This window comes from Homo sapiens, chromosome 1, assembly GCF_000001405.40.
Source record: "Homo sapiens chromosome 1, GRCh38.p14 Primary Assembly".
Taxonomy (NCBI): domain Eukaryota; kingdom Metazoa; phylum Chordata; class Mammalia; order Primates; family Hominidae; genus Homo; species Homo sapiens.
The window spans coordinates 151,278,706-151,293,376 of NC_000001.11; the positions used below are offsets into that span (position 1 = coordinate 151,278,706).

Here is a 14,671-nt window from a genome sequence, read left to right on the forward strand (position 1 = left end):
TTAATATCTCGCATTAGTGTGGTACATTTGTTACAATTGATGAACCAATATGGAAACATTATTATTAAGAGACAGGGTCTCACTTTGTTGCCCAGGCTGGAGTGCGGCAGCAGGATCGTAGCTCACTGCAGCCTCAAACTTCTGGGCTCAAGGGACTCTCCTGCTTCAGCCACTTGAGTAGTTGGGACTACAGGTGTGCGCCACTGTACGCGGCTAATTTTTCAAATTTTTTGTTGATCCTCCCGCTTTGGCCTCCCAAAGTTCAGGGATTACATGTGTGAGCCACCATGCTCACAGGGTTCACTCTTTGTGTTGTACATTCCATGGCTGTTGACACATGTATCCACTATTACAGTATCACATAGAATAGTTTCAGTGTTGTAAGAGTCCCCTGTGCTCCATTTATTTATTCATCTCTCTCCCTCCACCTGAACCCTCAGCAACCAACCACTGATCTTTTTACTCTCTATAGTTTTGCCTTTTCTAGAATGTCACATAGCTGGAATCATACAGCATGCAACCTTTTCAGATTGGCTTCTTTCACTTAGTCATATGCATCGAAGATTCCTCTGTCTTTGCATGGCTTGATAACTCTATTTTATTCCTTGGCAGCTACCATTTCTAATATTTATTGTTTGTCTTCTCTTTAGGAATGTGTGTTTCATGACAGGGCTTCTTGTCTGCTTTGTTCATTGCTACATCTCCAGTACCTGAAATAGTACCTCCTTCCATGGTTGTGGTAAGGACTACGTGAGTTATTAATAATATGTTTATTAATAAAATAAATAAAGTTTTTCTGTGTGTGTGTGTTTTTTTTTTTTTTTTTTTTGAGACAGAGTCTCGCTCTGTCTCCCAGGTTGGAGTGCAGTGGTGCGATCCCGGCTCACTGTAGTTTTGACTTCCTGGACTCAAGCGATCCTTCCATCCCAGCCTCCCCAGTAGCTGGGATCACAGGTGCCTGCCAACACCCCTGGCTAATTTTTTTTTCCAAATATTCTGTAGAGGCAGAGTCCTGCTGTGTTGCACAGGCTAGTCTCGAACTCCAGGGCTCAAGTGAGCTACCCACCTAGACTTCTCAAAGTGCTGGGATTACAGGCGTGAGCCCCCCAAAATATTATGTGTATATGAGTAGTAATTGTTATTCCGCATAGGGAGACCAGAAGAGGAGGTGGAAATGGAATGCCGGTTGGTTACATCGGGTTAGGGACCTTTAATTAGTTGCTCAGAGAAGGAACAGCACCTGAGCAAATGCACAGGATGCAAGGCTCCGGGAGAAAGGGCACACTAATCCCAACTGCCAATTACTTTACAAAGCGTGTTTACATTCTAAACTCATTTAATTCTCACAAAAATAATATTGTCAGGTGGGTATTATAATCCCCGTTTTACTCATGAGAAAACAGGATCTGGGAGGTTGAGCGACTTGCCCATTGCGACCATAGGGCAAGTGGTGGCTCCAGGATTCCCATCCAGAAGTTCTGATTCATACTTCAAAGGAGCTCGGAAACTCTCCGGGTGCGCCGGGGAGTCCTGGTTCCGGTGTCCTGGGACTCCTGGGCAGGGTAACGAAACCACTTTTAAAAACTTTGCCGGGCCCGGTGGGTCACATCTGTAATCCCAGCACTTTGGGAGGCCAAGGCGGATGGATGATTTGAGGTCAGGAGTTCGAGACCAGCCTGGCCAATGCGGTGAAACCCCGTCTCTACTAAAAATACAAAAATGGCCGGCCGCGGTGGCTCATGCCTGTAATCCCAGCACTTTGGGAGGCCGAGGCGGGCGGATCACGAGGTCAGGAGATCAAGACTATCCTGGCTAACACGGTGAAACCCCGTCTCTACTAAAAACACAAAAAATTAGCCGGGCATTGTGGAGAGCGCCTGCAGTCCCAGCTACTCGGGAGGCTGAGGCAGGAGAATGGCGTGAACCCGGGAGGCGGAGCTTGCAGTGAGCCGAGATCGCGCCACTGCACTCCAGCCTGGGCGACACAGCGAGACTCCGTCTCAAAAAAAAAAAAAAAAGAAAAAAACAAAAATTAGCCGGGCGGGTAGTGTCGCACACCTGTAATCCCAGCTGGTCGGAAGGCTGAGGCAGGAGAATTGCTTGAGCCTGGGAGACGGAGGTTGCCGTGAGCCGAGATCCCGCCACTGCACTCCAGTCTGGACGACAGAATGAGGCCCCGTTTCAAAAAATAAAAAATAAAAAACTTCGCCAAGGTAGGGAGTAGTGGCTCACGTCTGTAGGATTGCTTGAGACCAGCCTGGGCAACATGGCAAAACCCTGTCTCTTCAAAAAATAAAAAAGTTAGCAGGGCGATTTGGCGCTCACTTGTAGTCCCAGCTACTCAGGAGGCTGAGGCGGGAGGATCACTGGAGCCTGGGAGGTTGAGGCTGCAGTCAGCCGTGATCGCGCCACTGTGCTCCCGCCTGGGCAGCAGAGTGAGGCTCTGCCTCAAAAAAATTAATTAAAAAATAAAAACACGCCGTTAACGAGCGGCTGCGTGCGCGAGGTGGCACACTGGGCTTGCATACGAATTCTGCCAGTGAGTGCTATTAGAGCATCAAGGAGATTCATTTTCCGAGCGACTCCTCCCTTTCCCCCGCCTCCAGGGGGCGTGGCAACAAAGCGCGGGAAAACTCGACCTTGACCCCACCCCCACTCCATGCTGGGGGCGGGGAAAAGGGGAGCCCTTAAATGGGAAATGGAGCTGGCGGTTCCCCCCCCAGCCCATACTTAGGACGCCTATCAGTTGCTCCTTTAATGCCTCTTTGGAAATGGCCCGGCCACGCCAGCACTCCTACGTCACCTCCCCCGCTTCCGGTCCGCGAGCCCTTCCCAACCTTTAGGTCCCGATTCCTTCCATGCTCCAAATCCCGTGCCCCGTCCACGCCCTCCCGCAGAGGGAGGAGCGACGGGTTACGCTGTCGCCCAGGAGCTGAACCGCGCGAGGACCCCATCCATCAGATTATATGGCGATTTAGACGGTGGGAAGACCGCAAGGAAATGGTCAGCGGATGACGTAATGTTTGGGGTGGCGTCCCATTCTGTAACTTCTGTACGGCATCAGTGACACGGGTTTAGCTTGAAACAGCGCAAAAGGACCTACACTTCTGTGCTCCACTCCGACTCAATGCGGTTCTGCTCTCAGTGCCCACCACACAGAAGCTGGGTTCCTTACATTCGCGAAAGTGAACTGCAGCTTCAAGCTTCGAGCGGCCAGTAGGGAGCGAGGGGCGGAGACGCACCTGGGTGCTCCCCCTTCCAGTAGGCAAGCTGGGAAGCAGGCTGGCTTCTTTCTAAGCGACAGTGGCGGAGGCCAATCGTTTACGAGACTCGTAGATGGGGCAGACGGACCCCGGCGCAGCCAATGGGGAGAGGTATCTTCAGAGGGCCTCGGCCCCTTGCCCAATGAGCATAAGAGGACTGTGCGGGGCTAGTTCCGAGCGGCAGTATTTAGGGCCAACCCAGTGCGGGGCTGGAAGGGGCACAGGGCTGAGCGACGGGGGCAAGGGCCAATGGCGAGTGCGAAAACGGGCAGCCCAGACCTGGAGCGCGGAGGGAGGAGAGGGAGTGGGGAGGCCGAACCGGAGAGAAGCAGGAAGTAGCGGCGGCCGCGGGGAGGGCGGCGGTGGCTGCAGCGGCTGGAGCGGGGTAGAGACCGCCGGGTCTCGGCCCGCACCAGGAGCGGAACAAGTAAGCGTGCCTGGGGTAAATACCCGCCCTTGGCTCCGCCCCCTTGGGGGGGGCGGGTAAATACCCCCGCCCCTCCCCCACTTGGTCAACTACCCCCTTCTCCGCGCCGCCCCCTGGGGCGGCTTCTAGGAAGGCCCAGACACCGCCTCCATCCATTGGGGCGGATGGGCGAAACTCCTGGCCTGTTGTAAGCACAGTCCGTAGCCGGGTAAACCCCCAGGAGGGTCGAGAACCCCAGGTCCTGGCGCCCCCGGCTCGAGAGGCACCCGAAGTGCGGCCCGGAGATTGAAGGCTGCGGGATGTCGCGACCTAAAATGGTGTCCGTTCCCGGGGATGGGGGCGGGGGACCTGGGCCAGGCCGGAGCAGAACCTGCACCCCGACTGGGTGCGGGTCAGCGTCCGGGCCCGGGCAAGACTCAGGCTTGCGCCCCCGGCCCCCTGCGCACCCCCCGATCAGTCTCCAGTCTCTAGCGAGCCTCCGGGAGTGCGCGGCGGGAGGAGGCTCCGCTGCGCCCGGAGGGGAGGGGACGAGGTCCGAGTTGGGACGGACCCCAGCTAGAGAGCTGAGAGTCGCGCAGAGACCGTCCCCTCTCTCCTCCCCTCTTTCCAGCTCCCCACCCTATCCTGTGTAGTCCTGGGTCCCCAGGTGCTGCGCAGCAGCTCCCAAAGGGCCTGGCCTGGCTGAGGCCCGGCCTTCGCTTCGCACGCCGGTGCGAGTGAGAGAAGGGCCGCGCGCCTCAGTTTCCCTTGTAGTTTCTCATGTGTACACCCCGCCCCCTCCTCGAAACCCAGGACTTGCTCCCCGCGCCAGCCCTCGGCAGATGGCAGGGACTTAATTCCGTCTGCTACCCAGCTTGGCCTCAACCTAATCGCCGCCAGCCCCTCGCCCTCCTCTGCGCTGCAGGCCTTGGGCCCGGGCAAAGGTCAGTGGAGCCCCCACTCGACCTGGGCCTGTTCAGCCTCTTCCTGTTCAGCCTCTTTGGCTTTTGGGGAACCACAGAGGGAAAGGGGGCGGGGGAGATAGGAGCCCTAGAGACAGGGCTCAGCAGTCGCAGGAAGGCCTGATCCTCCTTGGCTTGAGCTTGGCGGCTTGCTTGGTCGACTGTCTGCTCTGGGTGGGTGGCCATCGGATGACCTCTAAGTCACTGGGGCACCCAAGAGGGAGGTGGCTGGCGGGGTGTGGGGGCGGGTGAGTTCGCAGGTGTTTTCTCCTAGTCCCCGCTGGTCTTCGTTGTAGCAGTCCACTTTTCTGAGTACCTGAGTGGAAGGTAGCTCAGGCCTCTGGTCAGGAGGGAACCAGGCTTAGGAGCCAGGCCTATAGAGACAAGGGTTTTTGTTTAAACCCAGATTCTGCAGAATTGAATAGGGTGGGGGTGAGGGGAGGACTCCCCCTTTGGTTTTGCCCCCACCCCAACCTTGGTCCCAGCAATCCCAGCTGCCACTTGCTGGGACTGTCTCTAGTTACAGTCTGAAGACTGGAGAGAGGTGGGAGAGCTGGCTGGGAAATGGCCTGCAACCTGGGCAGGGAATGGATAGGGATAGACTCTTTAGTTGCTTCTTCGTAGATACAGAAACACTCATGGGGAGACACTGGTAGGGGACAGACCTGGGTCTCCCACAAACTCTGAGCTGGCCTGCTTGTTGGATTAGTGCCACATAATTCTTGTGGGATTTTTAATTTTATTTTTTGCACTTGGCCAGGTTGAGGCTAGGTGAAACTTCCTGGGCTACTGTTGCCACAGGAAAATGGAAAGGGTGAGGAGTTAAAGTTAGGGGATGGAATGGGGTGAGGAGCTTGGAGCAGAAATGATGGGTGAGGGTTGAGGGAGCCTGGCTTTTTCCCACTGTGGCAGCTGTGCTGGAGAAATGTGTATGTATCTTGGGAGTTTTAGCCTCGGGAAAGCAAGATGGGGAGGGGTGGAGAAGGAAGGGCTGGCTAGGGGAGGGCCAGGCACTCTGGGGAAGGTAGTGAGCGAGCAGCAGGTGTTTGTGACAGGAGAGGTCTAGGCTGGGGCCCTTGTGACCAGGCTGCCATCACCATTTTCCCCTCTGTCTCTTCTCTTTGTCTCTTTCTGTTCCTGTGTCTTATTCTTTCCATCTTGGTCTCTTGGGTAATTTCCTTGAGTCCTTTTCTCCCTGCTGACCAAGCTAGATCTCCAGGTGCCAGTGATGGCCCAGGTGCCCTAGACTTGATCCTGCATGACCCCTGACTCTTGCCTCCGACCCCAGCCCTAGAGTTCCAGTGCTTATTCCTTTCCAGTTCCTCCTTGACCTGACATGTCCTTGCTTGGTTCATCTGGAATAGTAAATCGTATTCTTGGTGGGATTCTTACATTAGCAATTTTGTATTATGCTCAGAATAACCCTATGATACATAGATCACTTGTGCTCTCTGCCTTGTCTTGTCTTTTTTTTTTTTTTTTTTTTTTTTTTTGAGACGGTATCACTCTGTCACCCAGGCTGGAGTGCAGTGGCATGATCATGGCCCATCACAGCCTCGACCTCCCGGGCTCAGGGGATCCTCCCATGTCAGCTGGGAGGCATAGCTGGGACTACAGGCACGTGCCATCATGCCTGGGGAGTTTCACCATGTTGCCCAGGGTGGTCTTGAACTCCTGGGCCCAAGTGATTGGCCTCCCAAAGTGCTGGGATTACAGATGTGAGCCACCACACCCGGCCATTTGTGTCCTCTTTCAAACAGCAAAAGTAAGGCACTGAAGAAACTTGCTTGTACTGCACGCCCCTGATAAAGCTGAACGAGGATCATTTCTTAAGTCTTGGCTTATGGCATTGTCCCTTTGTACATGCAGCCTTTCAGATCTGTGTGGACCCCAGAAGATCCGTGAAGAATATGAATTGATTCCATGCGGACATGAATGAGTCCTTAAACCTAGAACATCATGTACATCATCCTCCTTAATAATAGTATTGATTATTTGGTTCTATGCTGGGGACCGGAGGGGATGAGATGGTTTCCACCAGAATGCTCACTGAGCTCTATTACCCTTCCCTGTTCCCTGTATTTTTTTTTTTTTTCTGAGACAGTCTTGCTCTGTCGCCCAGGTGGGAGTGCAGTGGCACGATCTCAGCTCACTGCAAACTCCACCTCCCAGGTTCAAGCAATTCTTCTGCCTCAGCCTCCCGAGTAGCTGGGACTACAGGTGTGTGCTGCCATGCCCAGCTAATTTTTGTATTTTTAGTAGAGACGGGGTTTCACTATCTTGGCCAGGATGGTCTTGATCTCCTGACCTCGTGATCCGCCCGCCTCTGCCTCCCCAAGTGCTGGGATTACAGGCGTGAGCCACCATGCCCAGCCCCCTATATTTCTTTTTTTTGAGACAGGGTCTCGCTCTGTCCAGGCTGGAGTGCAGTGGCGTGATCTTGGCTCATTGAAACCTCAACCTCATGGGTTCAGGCGATTCTCCTGCCTCAGCCTCCTTTGTAGCTGCGATTACAGGCATGTGCCACCACACCTGTCTAGTTTTTTGTATTTTTAGTAGAGACAAGGTTTCACCATGTTGGCCAAGCTGGTCTCAAACTCCTGACCTCAAGTGATCCATCTGCCTCAGCCTCCCAAAACGCTGGGATTACAAGCATGAGCCACCGCACCTGGCCCCTTCCCTGTATTTCTAAGAACTCTCTTTTCCCCTGCTTTCTCTGGATTTTGGAGCCCACCAAGGTATGGACACTAATCCTCTTCTGATTTTAAGGTTTGGCAAACCTAGCAGCTCTGTAGGATTCATGCCGTGGCGGAGGTGTACCTAAGTTGGAGTGTATGTGGGTTCTGAGAGAGGATAAATATGGAGATGCTGAGGGAAGAGCTCCAGGATCTCTCTTCTAGACATCTCAGTTTCTCCTCCTCGTTCCTGTTTTCATCAGGTCTGGGATCTGCCGATATGGGGGATATGAAGACCCCTGATTTTGATGACCTCCTTGCTGCCTTTGACATCCCTGACATTGATGCGAATGAAGCCATCCATTCTGGGCCAGAAGAAAATGAGGGGCCTGGAGGCCCAGGGAAGCCAGAACCAGGTGTAGGAAGTGAATCTGAAGACACAGCAGCAGCCTCTGCTGGGGATGGCCCTGGAGTTCCAGCCCAGGCCTCTGACCATGGCCTGCCACCGCCAGACATTTCTGTAGTCAGTGTCATTGTCAAGAACACTGTGTGTCCCGAGCAGTCTGAGGCCCTGGCTGGAGGCTCAGCAGGAGACGGGGCCCAGGCTGCTGGGGTAACTAAAGAAGGGCCTGTGGGGCCTCATCGAATGCAGAATGGTTTTGGGAGCCCTGAACCTTCCCTCCCAGGAACTCCCCACTCTCCTGCTCCTCCCAGTGGGGGCACCTGGAAAGAAAAAGGCATGGAAGGCAAAACTCCCTTGGACCTGTTTGCTCATTTTGGCCCTGAGCCAGGGGACCACTCAGATCCGCTGCCTCCCTCTGCACCCTCTCCCACTCGGGAGGGGGCTCTGACCCCGCCTCCTTTCCCCTCTTCCTTTGAGCTGGCCCAGGAGAATGGCCCAGGCATGCAGCCACCTGTTTCTTCCCCACCATTGGGGGCCTTGAAGCAGGAGAGCTGCAGCCCCCATCATCCCCAGGTCCTAGCCCAACAAGGCTCAGGCTCCAGCCCTAAGGCCACGGACATCCCTGCCAGTGCCTCGCCTCCCCCAGTTGCTGGGGTGCCCTTCTTCAAGCAGTCTCCAGGGCACCAGAGCCCTCTTGCCTCCCCCAAAGTGCCCGTCTGTCAGCCCTTGAAGGAAGAAGATGATGATGAGGGGCCAGTGGACAAGTCTTCCCCAGGAAGTCCCCAGAGTCCCTCTAGTGGGGCCGAGGCTGCAGATGAGGACAGCAATGACTCCCCTGCCTCCAGCTCCTCTAGGCCTCTTAAGGTGCGGATCAAGACCATTAAAACATCCTGCGGGAATATCACAAGGACTGTAACTCAGGTCCCCTCAGATCCTGATCCACCTGCCCCCTTGGCTGAGGGGGCCTTCTTGGCTGAGGCTAGCCTCTTGAAGCTGTCCCCTGCAACACCTACTTCTGAGGGTCCAAAGGTGGTGAGCGTACAGTTGGGTGATGGTACAAGGCTGAAAGGCACTGTGCTGCCTGTGGCCACCATCCAGAACGCCAGTACTGCCATGCTGATGGCAGCCAGTGTGGCTCGCAAGGCTGTGGTGCTGCCTGGGGGGACTGCCACCAGCCCTAAGATGATTGCTAAGAACGTGCTAGGCCTGGTGCCCCAAGCCCTGCCTAAGGCTGACGGGCGGGCAGGGCTGGGGACTGGGGGACAGAAGGTGAATGGTGCCTCGGTGGTGATGGTGCAACCTTCAAAGACAGCTACTGGGCCAAGTACAGGGGGCGGCACAGTGATATCACGGACCCAGTCCAGCCTGGTGGAGGCCTTCAACAAGATCCTCAACAGCAAGAACCTGCTCCCTGCCTATAGGCCAAACCTGAGCCCACCAGCTGAGGCTGGGCTGGCCCTGCCTCCCACCGGCTACCGCTGCCTGGAGTGTGGGGATGCCTTCTCATTGGAGAAGAGCCTGGCACGGCACTATGACCGTCGGAGCATGCGCATCGAGGTCACCTGCAACCACTGCGCCCGCCGCCTGGTCTTCTTCAACAAGTGCAGCCTGCTCCTGCATGCACGTGAACACAAGGACAAGGGGCTCGTCATGCAGTGCTCACATTTGGTCATGAGGCCTGTAGCCCTTGACCAGATGGTGGGGCAGCCGGACATCACACCGCTGCTGCCTGTAGCTGTCCCACCTGTCTCTGGACCTCTGGCCTTGCCTGCCTTGGGCAAGGGTGAGGGGGCCATCACCTCCTCTGCCATTACTACAGTTGCTGCTGAGGCCCCTGTCCTGCCGCTCTCCACAGAGCCGCCTGCTGCCCCGGCCACCTCTGCTTACACATGCTTTCGCTGCCTGGAGTGCAAGGAACAGTGCCGGGACAAGGCTGGCATGGCAGCTCACTTCCAGCAGCTCGGCCCCCCTGCCCCTGGGGCCACCAGCAATGTGAGTCACCTTTCACAGCCCTTCTGTGGGGACAGGATCTAGGAAGGCGTTGGGGGCTTGGTTAGAAGTAATGGAGACAGGACACTCCTCACCGACTTTCCTTGTTTAACCCACTCGACAGGTGTGCCCAACCTGCCCCATGATGCTCCCCAATCGCTGCAGCTTCAGCGCCCACCAGCGCATGCATAAGAATCGACCCCCCCATGTCTGTCCTGAGTGTGGGGGCAACTTCCTGCAAGCCAATTTTCAGACCCATCTCCGGGAGGCCTGTCTGCACGTCTCTCGCCGTGTAGGATACAGGTGCCTCGGACCCTTCCTCCATAGAACTGTAGGGTTTCGTGTGTCCTAGCCTCAGCCTCAGATGGCCTTTCAAGATCCCCTATCTTCCCTGCTATATCCCTCAGCCCTGTTGTTTTGCCAGACTCAACCCTGAGATAGTACGTCCTGCCTTCCCGTCGTCCCCCATGGAGATGGGGGGAAGCAGGGCCACCTCTGGAGCTCCAGCTCTCCCTTGGCAGCCTCCCTTGGGGCACAGCCTCTGCACCTCTCTCCTTTCTCCACCCTGCTCATGCTCCACTACTGATTTCCTTCTTGTAGTCTACCCAGTCCCAGAGAATAAATGTATGGTCCCGGGGTGGGCATGGAGATGCCTCCCACCTCACCACAGGGCCTCCTGCTTCCTCCCTAGGTGCCCCAGCTGTTCAGTGGTGTTTGGGGGTGTGAACTCCATCAAGTCCCACATCCAGACGTCGCACTGCGAGGTTTTCCACAAGTGCCCCATCTGCCCCATGGCCTTCAAGTCTGGGCCAAGTGCCCATGCCCACCTCTACTCCCAGCATCCCAGCTTCCAAACTCAGCAGGCCAAGTGAGGCCCGGGGGAGGGCCGGGCTGGGCCAGGGAGGGCTGGTGGGGCGCAGGAGGGGAGGGGCTGCACCCAACCCTGCCTGATGTCTGCACTGTCCTCACTTCAGGCTGATCTACAAGTGCGCCATGTGCGACACAGTCTTCACTCACAAACCCCTCCTCTCCTCACACTTCGACCAGCACTTGCTGCCCCAGCGTGTCAGTGTCTTTAAGTGCCCGTCTTGTCCTCTGCTCTTTGCCCAAAAAAGGACCATGCTGGAACATCTCAAGGTACAGGAGCAGAGGGATGGGGAATGGGTGCTTAGCTGTACTGACCTGGGGCTGGGGCCACATACTTCAGAAGTGGGGGGCTTTGGCATAGCCAGGCCCTCCCCCACAACAGCAACCTCCCTTGTCTCCTCTCACAGAACACCCATCAGTCTGGGCGCTTGGAGGAGACTGCTGGGAAAGGGGCCGGGGGTGCCCTGCTGACCCCCAAGACTGAGCCTGAGGAGCTGGCTGTTTCTCAGGGAGGGGCAGCCCCTGCTACTGAGGAGTCGTCTTCATCTTCAGAAGAGGAGGAAGTACCCAGCTCCCCTGAGCCCCCCCGTCCAGCCAAACGGCCTCGGCGGGAACTAGGGAGCAAAGGCCTCAAGGGTGGGGGTGGGGGGCCTGGAGGCTGGACCTGTGGCCTGTGTCACTCCTGGTTCCCTGAGCGTGATGAATACGTGGCCCACATGAAGAAGGAGCATGGCAAGGTGAGTGGGCCCCAAGGGGAGTACCATGGGCTGGGGGCAGCATTGGGACTGCCAGTGTGACAGTGGGGACGGGGTCCTGGAGCCTGGCTCTGACATCTACCCCTGCTCTCCTAGTCAGTGAAAAAGTTCCCCTGTCGCCTGTGTGAGCGCTCCTTCTGCTCCGCCCCCAGCCTGAGGCGCCATGTCAGAGTTAATCACGAGGGCATCAAGCGAGTTTACCCCTGCAGGTAAGTCTTGCTCCCCGCTTCCTCTTCCTGCCCAGCACGTGACTCTCCCTGTATGCCAAAGTACCTGTGCACCTGCGACGTGTCTAAGTGGCCTGATGGTTGGGGTCTCCCTCTGCTCTGGCAGCCCCCTCCTCAGAAGCAAGGGCCCTGGCCTTCGGGCTGTGCCGCTGCTGCCATCCTGTCCTCTCCCATTTCAGGTATTGCACAGAGGGAAAACGCACCTTCAGCAGCCGCCTGATCCTAGAGAAACATGTCCAGGTCCGGCACGGCTTGCAGCTTGGGGCCCAGTCCCCTGGCCGGGGGACCACCTTGGCTCGGGGTTCCAGTGCCAGAGCCCAGGTAGGCAGAGGCCCGGCCTGCTGTGCTAGGGCTTTGAGTGGGAAACTGGAAGGCAGAGACCATGGCCTCAGGAAGCGAGCATGGGGGTGCCAGGGACAGTAGGGGTGGTGGTAAGGCCCAGTTTCTTCCACTTTTCTTCAGGGGCCAGGTCGGAAACGCCGCCAGTCTTCTGACTCTTGCAGTGAGGAGCCTGACAGCACGACACCGCCAGCCAAGTCCCCCAGGGGCGGACCTGGATCTGGAGGCCATGGCCCTCTGCGCTACCGGAGCAGCAGCTCCACAGAACAGAGCCTCATGATGGGGTTGAGGGTGGAGGATGGTGCCCAGCAGTGCCTCGACTGTGGCTTGTGCTTTGCCTCCCCTGGCTCCCTGAGCCGACACCGTTTCATCAGCCACAAGAAGAGACGGGGTGTGGGTAAAGCCAGTGCCCTGGGGCTGGGGGATGGGGAGGAAGAGGCCCCTCCATCAAGGTCTGACCCCGATGGTGGAGACTCACCCCTGCCTGCTTCTGGAGGCCCACTGACCTGTAAGGTCTGTGGCAAGAGCTGCGACAGCCCTCTAAACCTCAAGACCCACTTCCGCACGCATGGCATGGCGTTCATCAGGGCTCGGCAGGGGGCTGTTGGGGACAACTAGTCTCCAAGGCCTGGGACTGACCAGCCCCTTCCTCTTGGAGCCTGGTTTTCCCTACTGCTGCCTGATCCCTCGGCTGGGGAGTTTTCATTAACATTAATATTTTGTTAATTCCTGTCTCTCCAACCTGAAGAAGAAGAGCATTTGAGGATTATTCTAGTTATTTGCAACCTCCCTTTGGGTTTGGCCCTGGAGTCCTAGTAGAGTGGACCCTCCATTCCTCCTTTCTGAGCCCAACACTAATTAATTTTATGCTCCTGCTGCAGAACCCCCAGTGTGGGCCTGGGGGTGGGAGGATGGGACTTAGGTATGCCTGCTAGACAGGTTCAGGGAAGGACTGATGGGGGTGTCATGGATGGACACACCTCTCCACAATTCCTTCAGGCATGGACTGGAACTTTCCTCCTCTAGGCCGGGCCCTGCCCTAGTGCCCACCCCCGCCCCCGCCCCCGCCCAACCCCAACTCACTGGCACTCAAGCCCCCTACCCCTGCAGTGCCTTTCACTTCTTTTTTTCCCCAGAAATCCGGGGCGGGGGGGTGGGGGGTTGGTAGGGATGAGTCCTGTCAAGGGGGCCACAGGAGAGGAGGGGACAGGCTCTCAGGAATCCTTTATTCTTGTAGTAATAATAATACTAACAAACAGTTGGGGAACTAGGGAGAAAACCAGACCATTAAAACTGTTTGTGGTCGAATCTCCATTCAGGCCTCTCTTTTTCTGTGACTTGGACAATGTGGAGTTGAAGCGGGTGAGAGAACATGGAAGGCCCGCCCTTCTCAGGGAAGAGGTGGTAGTGACCAAGACAGGCAGGGAAAAAGCAAACTTCTATGTAGTGCCTTTTGTATCTTGGACACTGAGGCATCCGTTCATACCTCATCACCCATCTCCCCCTGCACTCCCCCAGAAAACCTGGAAATGACACAAGTGGCTAACTAAGGACTTTATTTCAAACAAAAATTAAAAATAAAAAATTGAGAGCTCTTTTCCCTGGGTTTGGGGAAGGAGTCAGGGTAGGGAATTCCACATGGCTAGGCCAGTACCCTCAGTACACTGGAGGGCTGTGGGAATTCCCTTCCTTGCCCATGATGGGGAACCTCAGCAAGTGCAGGGCCCACGCAGCGCCCGCCAGCAAGGGGAGCTTGGGCCAGGGGTCGGTCCCTGGGAGGGGTAGGTCCCTGGGAGGGGTAGAGCTGGGCAGCAGCATGGCCAGTGGCCAACCACAGGATCAAGTCCTAAGTACCGAGAACCTACTCTTCCCCACTTCCTGGGCCCCAGAACGGAATAAGAGGATGGCCTGTGGAAAGAACCTCTGAGAGACCCCTACAAGGAGAAGAAAGGCCCCAGTGTCCCTCACATTTGTCACCTCTGTTTTCTGGAGGGCAGTGAGTCCTGGAGTCAGTCTGGTGGTAATACTGACACAGACCAGGAGGGGCAGGGAAGCCCCAACAAGTCTGGACCCCACAGCTGGCTCTCCCACCCCTCAGCAAGCTCTCGCAGTTACCACATGATCCTTCGTGTTTCTTGCCTTCCATTTCCCTTGGGTGGATGGTTGGGTAGGTGGGGTTTCCTGGTTTGGGGTTTCTCAGACAAGGGCCCTCTAGGGAGGGTGCCCTGGACCCCCCACCACTCCTGGGCTGAGGAGCGTGTCACATGATGCCGTTGGTGAGGTACTGGAAGCCGTCATAGAGTTTGGTGGTGATAGACCGCATACTGCCATCCACCATCTGCTCCACCAGCAGCTGCAGCTGCTCCTCAGTCATGCTCATGTGGAACCTCTCTTTGAGGTTTCGAATGGTGCTGGAGCCATGGAAGCAAGGAAGCTGAGAACCTGGGGGAAGCAGTCGGAGTTCAGGGTCATGGATGGACGGGAGGGGCAGTGGTGTCAGCCATAGCAAATACAGAGCTGGGGCATCTGAAGTGCCCTTTTCCTCCCACCTCAGGTCCTTGATGATGTGGGTGCAGTTCTGCTTGGGCAGAGAGAAGGAACCGGCAGGAACCCCTCATCACCCCACGCCTAAGCCCTTCTGTAGGTGAGGGCATGTGGGCAGAGGAAGGAAGGGGACCAACACCACATCTCCCTCAGTAAGGGTGGAGGGGCCCAGAGGGCAGGCTGGGAGGAGGCTGGAGGGAGTGGGCCCTGAGCTGGGCACTTATCTGGTTGCAGACCTCTG

At 56.5% G+C, this 14,671-nt stretch overlaps 2 protein-coding genes and 1 long non-coding RNA gene across 29 annotated transcripts in view, besides 12 other annotated features; 1 reads left to right on the forward strand and 2 right to left on the reverse strand.

Moving 5' to 3' along the window:
* On the reverse strand, positions 1,319-3,224 carry ZNF687-AS1 (ZNF687 antisense RNA 1). The gene is made up of 2 exons (NR_135595.1): positions 2,838-3,224; positions 1,319-1,553 (listed from the first exon to the last, which is right to left on the reverse strand). It is a non-coding gene; the product is annotated as a ZNF687 antisense RNA 1 (long non-coding RNA).
* Positions 2,474-2,814: a silencer, noted in NCBI's record as "fragment chr1:151253655-151253995 (GRCh37/hg19 assembly coordinates)". NCBI's record gives its function as "represses an EF-1alpha promoter that drives an FKBP-Casp9 reporter gene in an ReSE screen in HepG2 liver carcinoma cells {active_cell/tissue: HepG2}" and the evidence as "EXISTENCE:reporter gene assay evidence [ECO:0000049][PMID:32094911]".
* Positions 2,474-3,441: a biological region, named in NCBI's record as "NANOG-H3K27ac-H3K4me1 hESC enhancer GRCh37_chr1:151253738-151254622".
* Positions 2,557-3,441: an enhancer, noted in NCBI's record as "NANOG-H3K27ac-H3K4me1 hESC enhancer chr1:151253738-151254622 (GRCh37/hg19 assembly coordinates)". NCBI's record gives its function as "activates a minimal SCP1, AML or CMV promoter by ChIP-STARR-seq in primed H9 embryonic stem cells {active_cell/tissue: H9 hESC(primed)}" and the evidence as "EXISTENCE:reporter gene assay evidence [ECO:0000049][PMID:30033119]".
* ZNF687 (zinc finger protein 687) lies at positions 2,817-13,471 on the forward strand. 13 transcript variants are annotated; one of them, XM_047426163.1, is made up of 11 exons: positions 3,594-3,690; positions 4,483-4,613; positions 6,501-6,592; positions 7,570-9,701; positions 9,823-10,001; positions 10,390-10,566; positions 10,673-10,835; positions 10,973-11,302; positions 11,417-11,529; positions 11,727-11,868; positions 12,010-13,471. In XM_047426163.1, exons 4-11 carry the CDS (start codon positions 7,587-7,589, stop codon positions 12,502-12,504), a joined length of 3,714 nt encoding a protein of 1,237 aa, XP_047282119.1. In that variant the 5' UTR covers positions 3,594-3,690; positions 4,483-4,613; positions 6,501-6,592; positions 7,570-7,586; the 3' UTR covers positions 12,505-13,471. The 13 variants fall into 13 exon arrangements, with proteins under 13 accessions (XP_005245423.1, NP_001291693.1, XP_047282123.1 ...); XM_011509812.3 differs by lacking the exon at positions 6,501-6,592; NM_001304763.2 differs by lacking the exon at positions 4,483-4,613 and having other exon boundaries at positions 6,501-7,369.
* Positions 2,936-3,135: an enhancer, noted in NCBI's record as "active region_1715". NCBI's record gives its function as "activates an Ori minimal core promoter by ATAC-STARR-seq in GM12878 lymphoblastoid cells {active_cell/tissue: GM12878}" and the evidence as "EXISTENCE:reporter gene assay evidence [ECO:0000049][PMID:35858748]".
* Positions 3,166-3,395: an enhancer, noted in NCBI's record as "active region_1716". NCBI's record gives its function as "activates an Ori minimal core promoter by ATAC-STARR-seq in GM12878 lymphoblastoid cells {active_cell/tissue: GM12878}" and the evidence as "EXISTENCE:reporter gene assay evidence [ECO:0000049][PMID:35858748]".
* Positions 3,442-4,327: an enhancer, noted in NCBI's record as "NANOG-H3K27ac-H3K4me1 hESC enhancer chr1:151254623-151255508 (GRCh37/hg19 assembly coordinates)". NCBI's record gives its function as "activates a minimal SCP1, AML or CMV promoter by ChIP-STARR-seq in primed H9 embryonic stem cells {active_cell/tissue: H9 hESC(primed)}" and the evidence as "EXISTENCE:reporter gene assay evidence [ECO:0000049][PMID:30033119]".
* Positions 3,496-3,775: a silencer, noted in NCBI's record as "silent region_1317". NCBI's record gives its function as "represses an Ori minimal core promoter by ATAC-STARR-seq in GM12878 lymphoblastoid cells {active_cell/tissue: GM12878}" and the evidence as "EXISTENCE:reporter gene assay evidence [ECO:0000049][PMID:35858748]".
* Positions 4,056-4,215: a silencer, noted in NCBI's record as "silent region_1318". NCBI's record gives its function as "represses an Ori minimal core promoter by ATAC-STARR-seq in GM12878 lymphoblastoid cells {active_cell/tissue: GM12878}" and the evidence as "EXISTENCE:reporter gene assay evidence [ECO:0000049][PMID:35858748]".
* Positions 4,636-4,705: an enhancer, noted in NCBI's record as "active region_1717". NCBI's record gives its function as "activates an Ori minimal core promoter by ATAC-STARR-seq in GM12878 lymphoblastoid cells {active_cell/tissue: GM12878}" and the evidence as "EXISTENCE:reporter gene assay evidence [ECO:0000049][PMID:35858748]".
* Positions 10,300-10,951: an enhancer, noted in NCBI's record as "H3K4me1 hESC enhancer chr1:151261481-151262132 (GRCh37/hg19 assembly coordinates)". NCBI's record gives its function as "activates a minimal SCP1, AML or CMV promoter by ChIP-STARR-seq in naive H9 embryonic stem cells {active_cell/tissue: H9 hESC(naive)}" and the evidence as "EXISTENCE:reporter gene assay evidence [ECO:0000049][PMID:30033119]".
* Positions 10,952-11,601: an enhancer, noted in NCBI's record as "H3K4me1 hESC enhancer chr1:151262133-151262782 (GRCh37/hg19 assembly coordinates)". NCBI's record gives its function as "activates a minimal SCP1, AML or CMV promoter by ChIP-STARR-seq in naive H9 embryonic stem cells {active_cell/tissue: H9 hESC(naive)}" and the evidence as "EXISTENCE:reporter gene assay evidence [ECO:0000049][PMID:30033119]".
* Positions 11,602-12,252: an enhancer, noted in NCBI's record as "H3K4me1 hESC enhancer chr1:151262783-151263433 (GRCh37/hg19 assembly coordinates)". NCBI's record gives its function as "activates a minimal SCP1, AML or CMV promoter by ChIP-STARR-seq in naive H9 embryonic stem cells {active_cell/tissue: H9 hESC(naive)}" and the evidence as "EXISTENCE:reporter gene assay evidence [ECO:0000049][PMID:30033119]".
* PI4KB (phosphatidylinositol 4-kinase beta) overlaps positions 13,092-14,671 on the reverse strand; it is a 35,919-nt gene continuing 34,339 nt past the window's right edge. For 8 of the 15 annotated variants that reach the window (NM_001369626.1, NM_001369624.1, NM_001369625.1 and 5 more), the window contains one exon: positions 13,092-14,328. In NM_001369626.1, coding sequence (NP_001356555.1) covers positions 14,147-14,328 — 182 coding nt within the window. In that variant the 3' untranslated portion in view covers positions 13,092-14,146. The remainder of the gene's footprint in view (positions 14,329-14,671) is intronic. The other 7 variants (NM_001369629.2, NM_001198775.3, NM_001198774.2 and 4 more) reach the window with 1 other exon arrangement.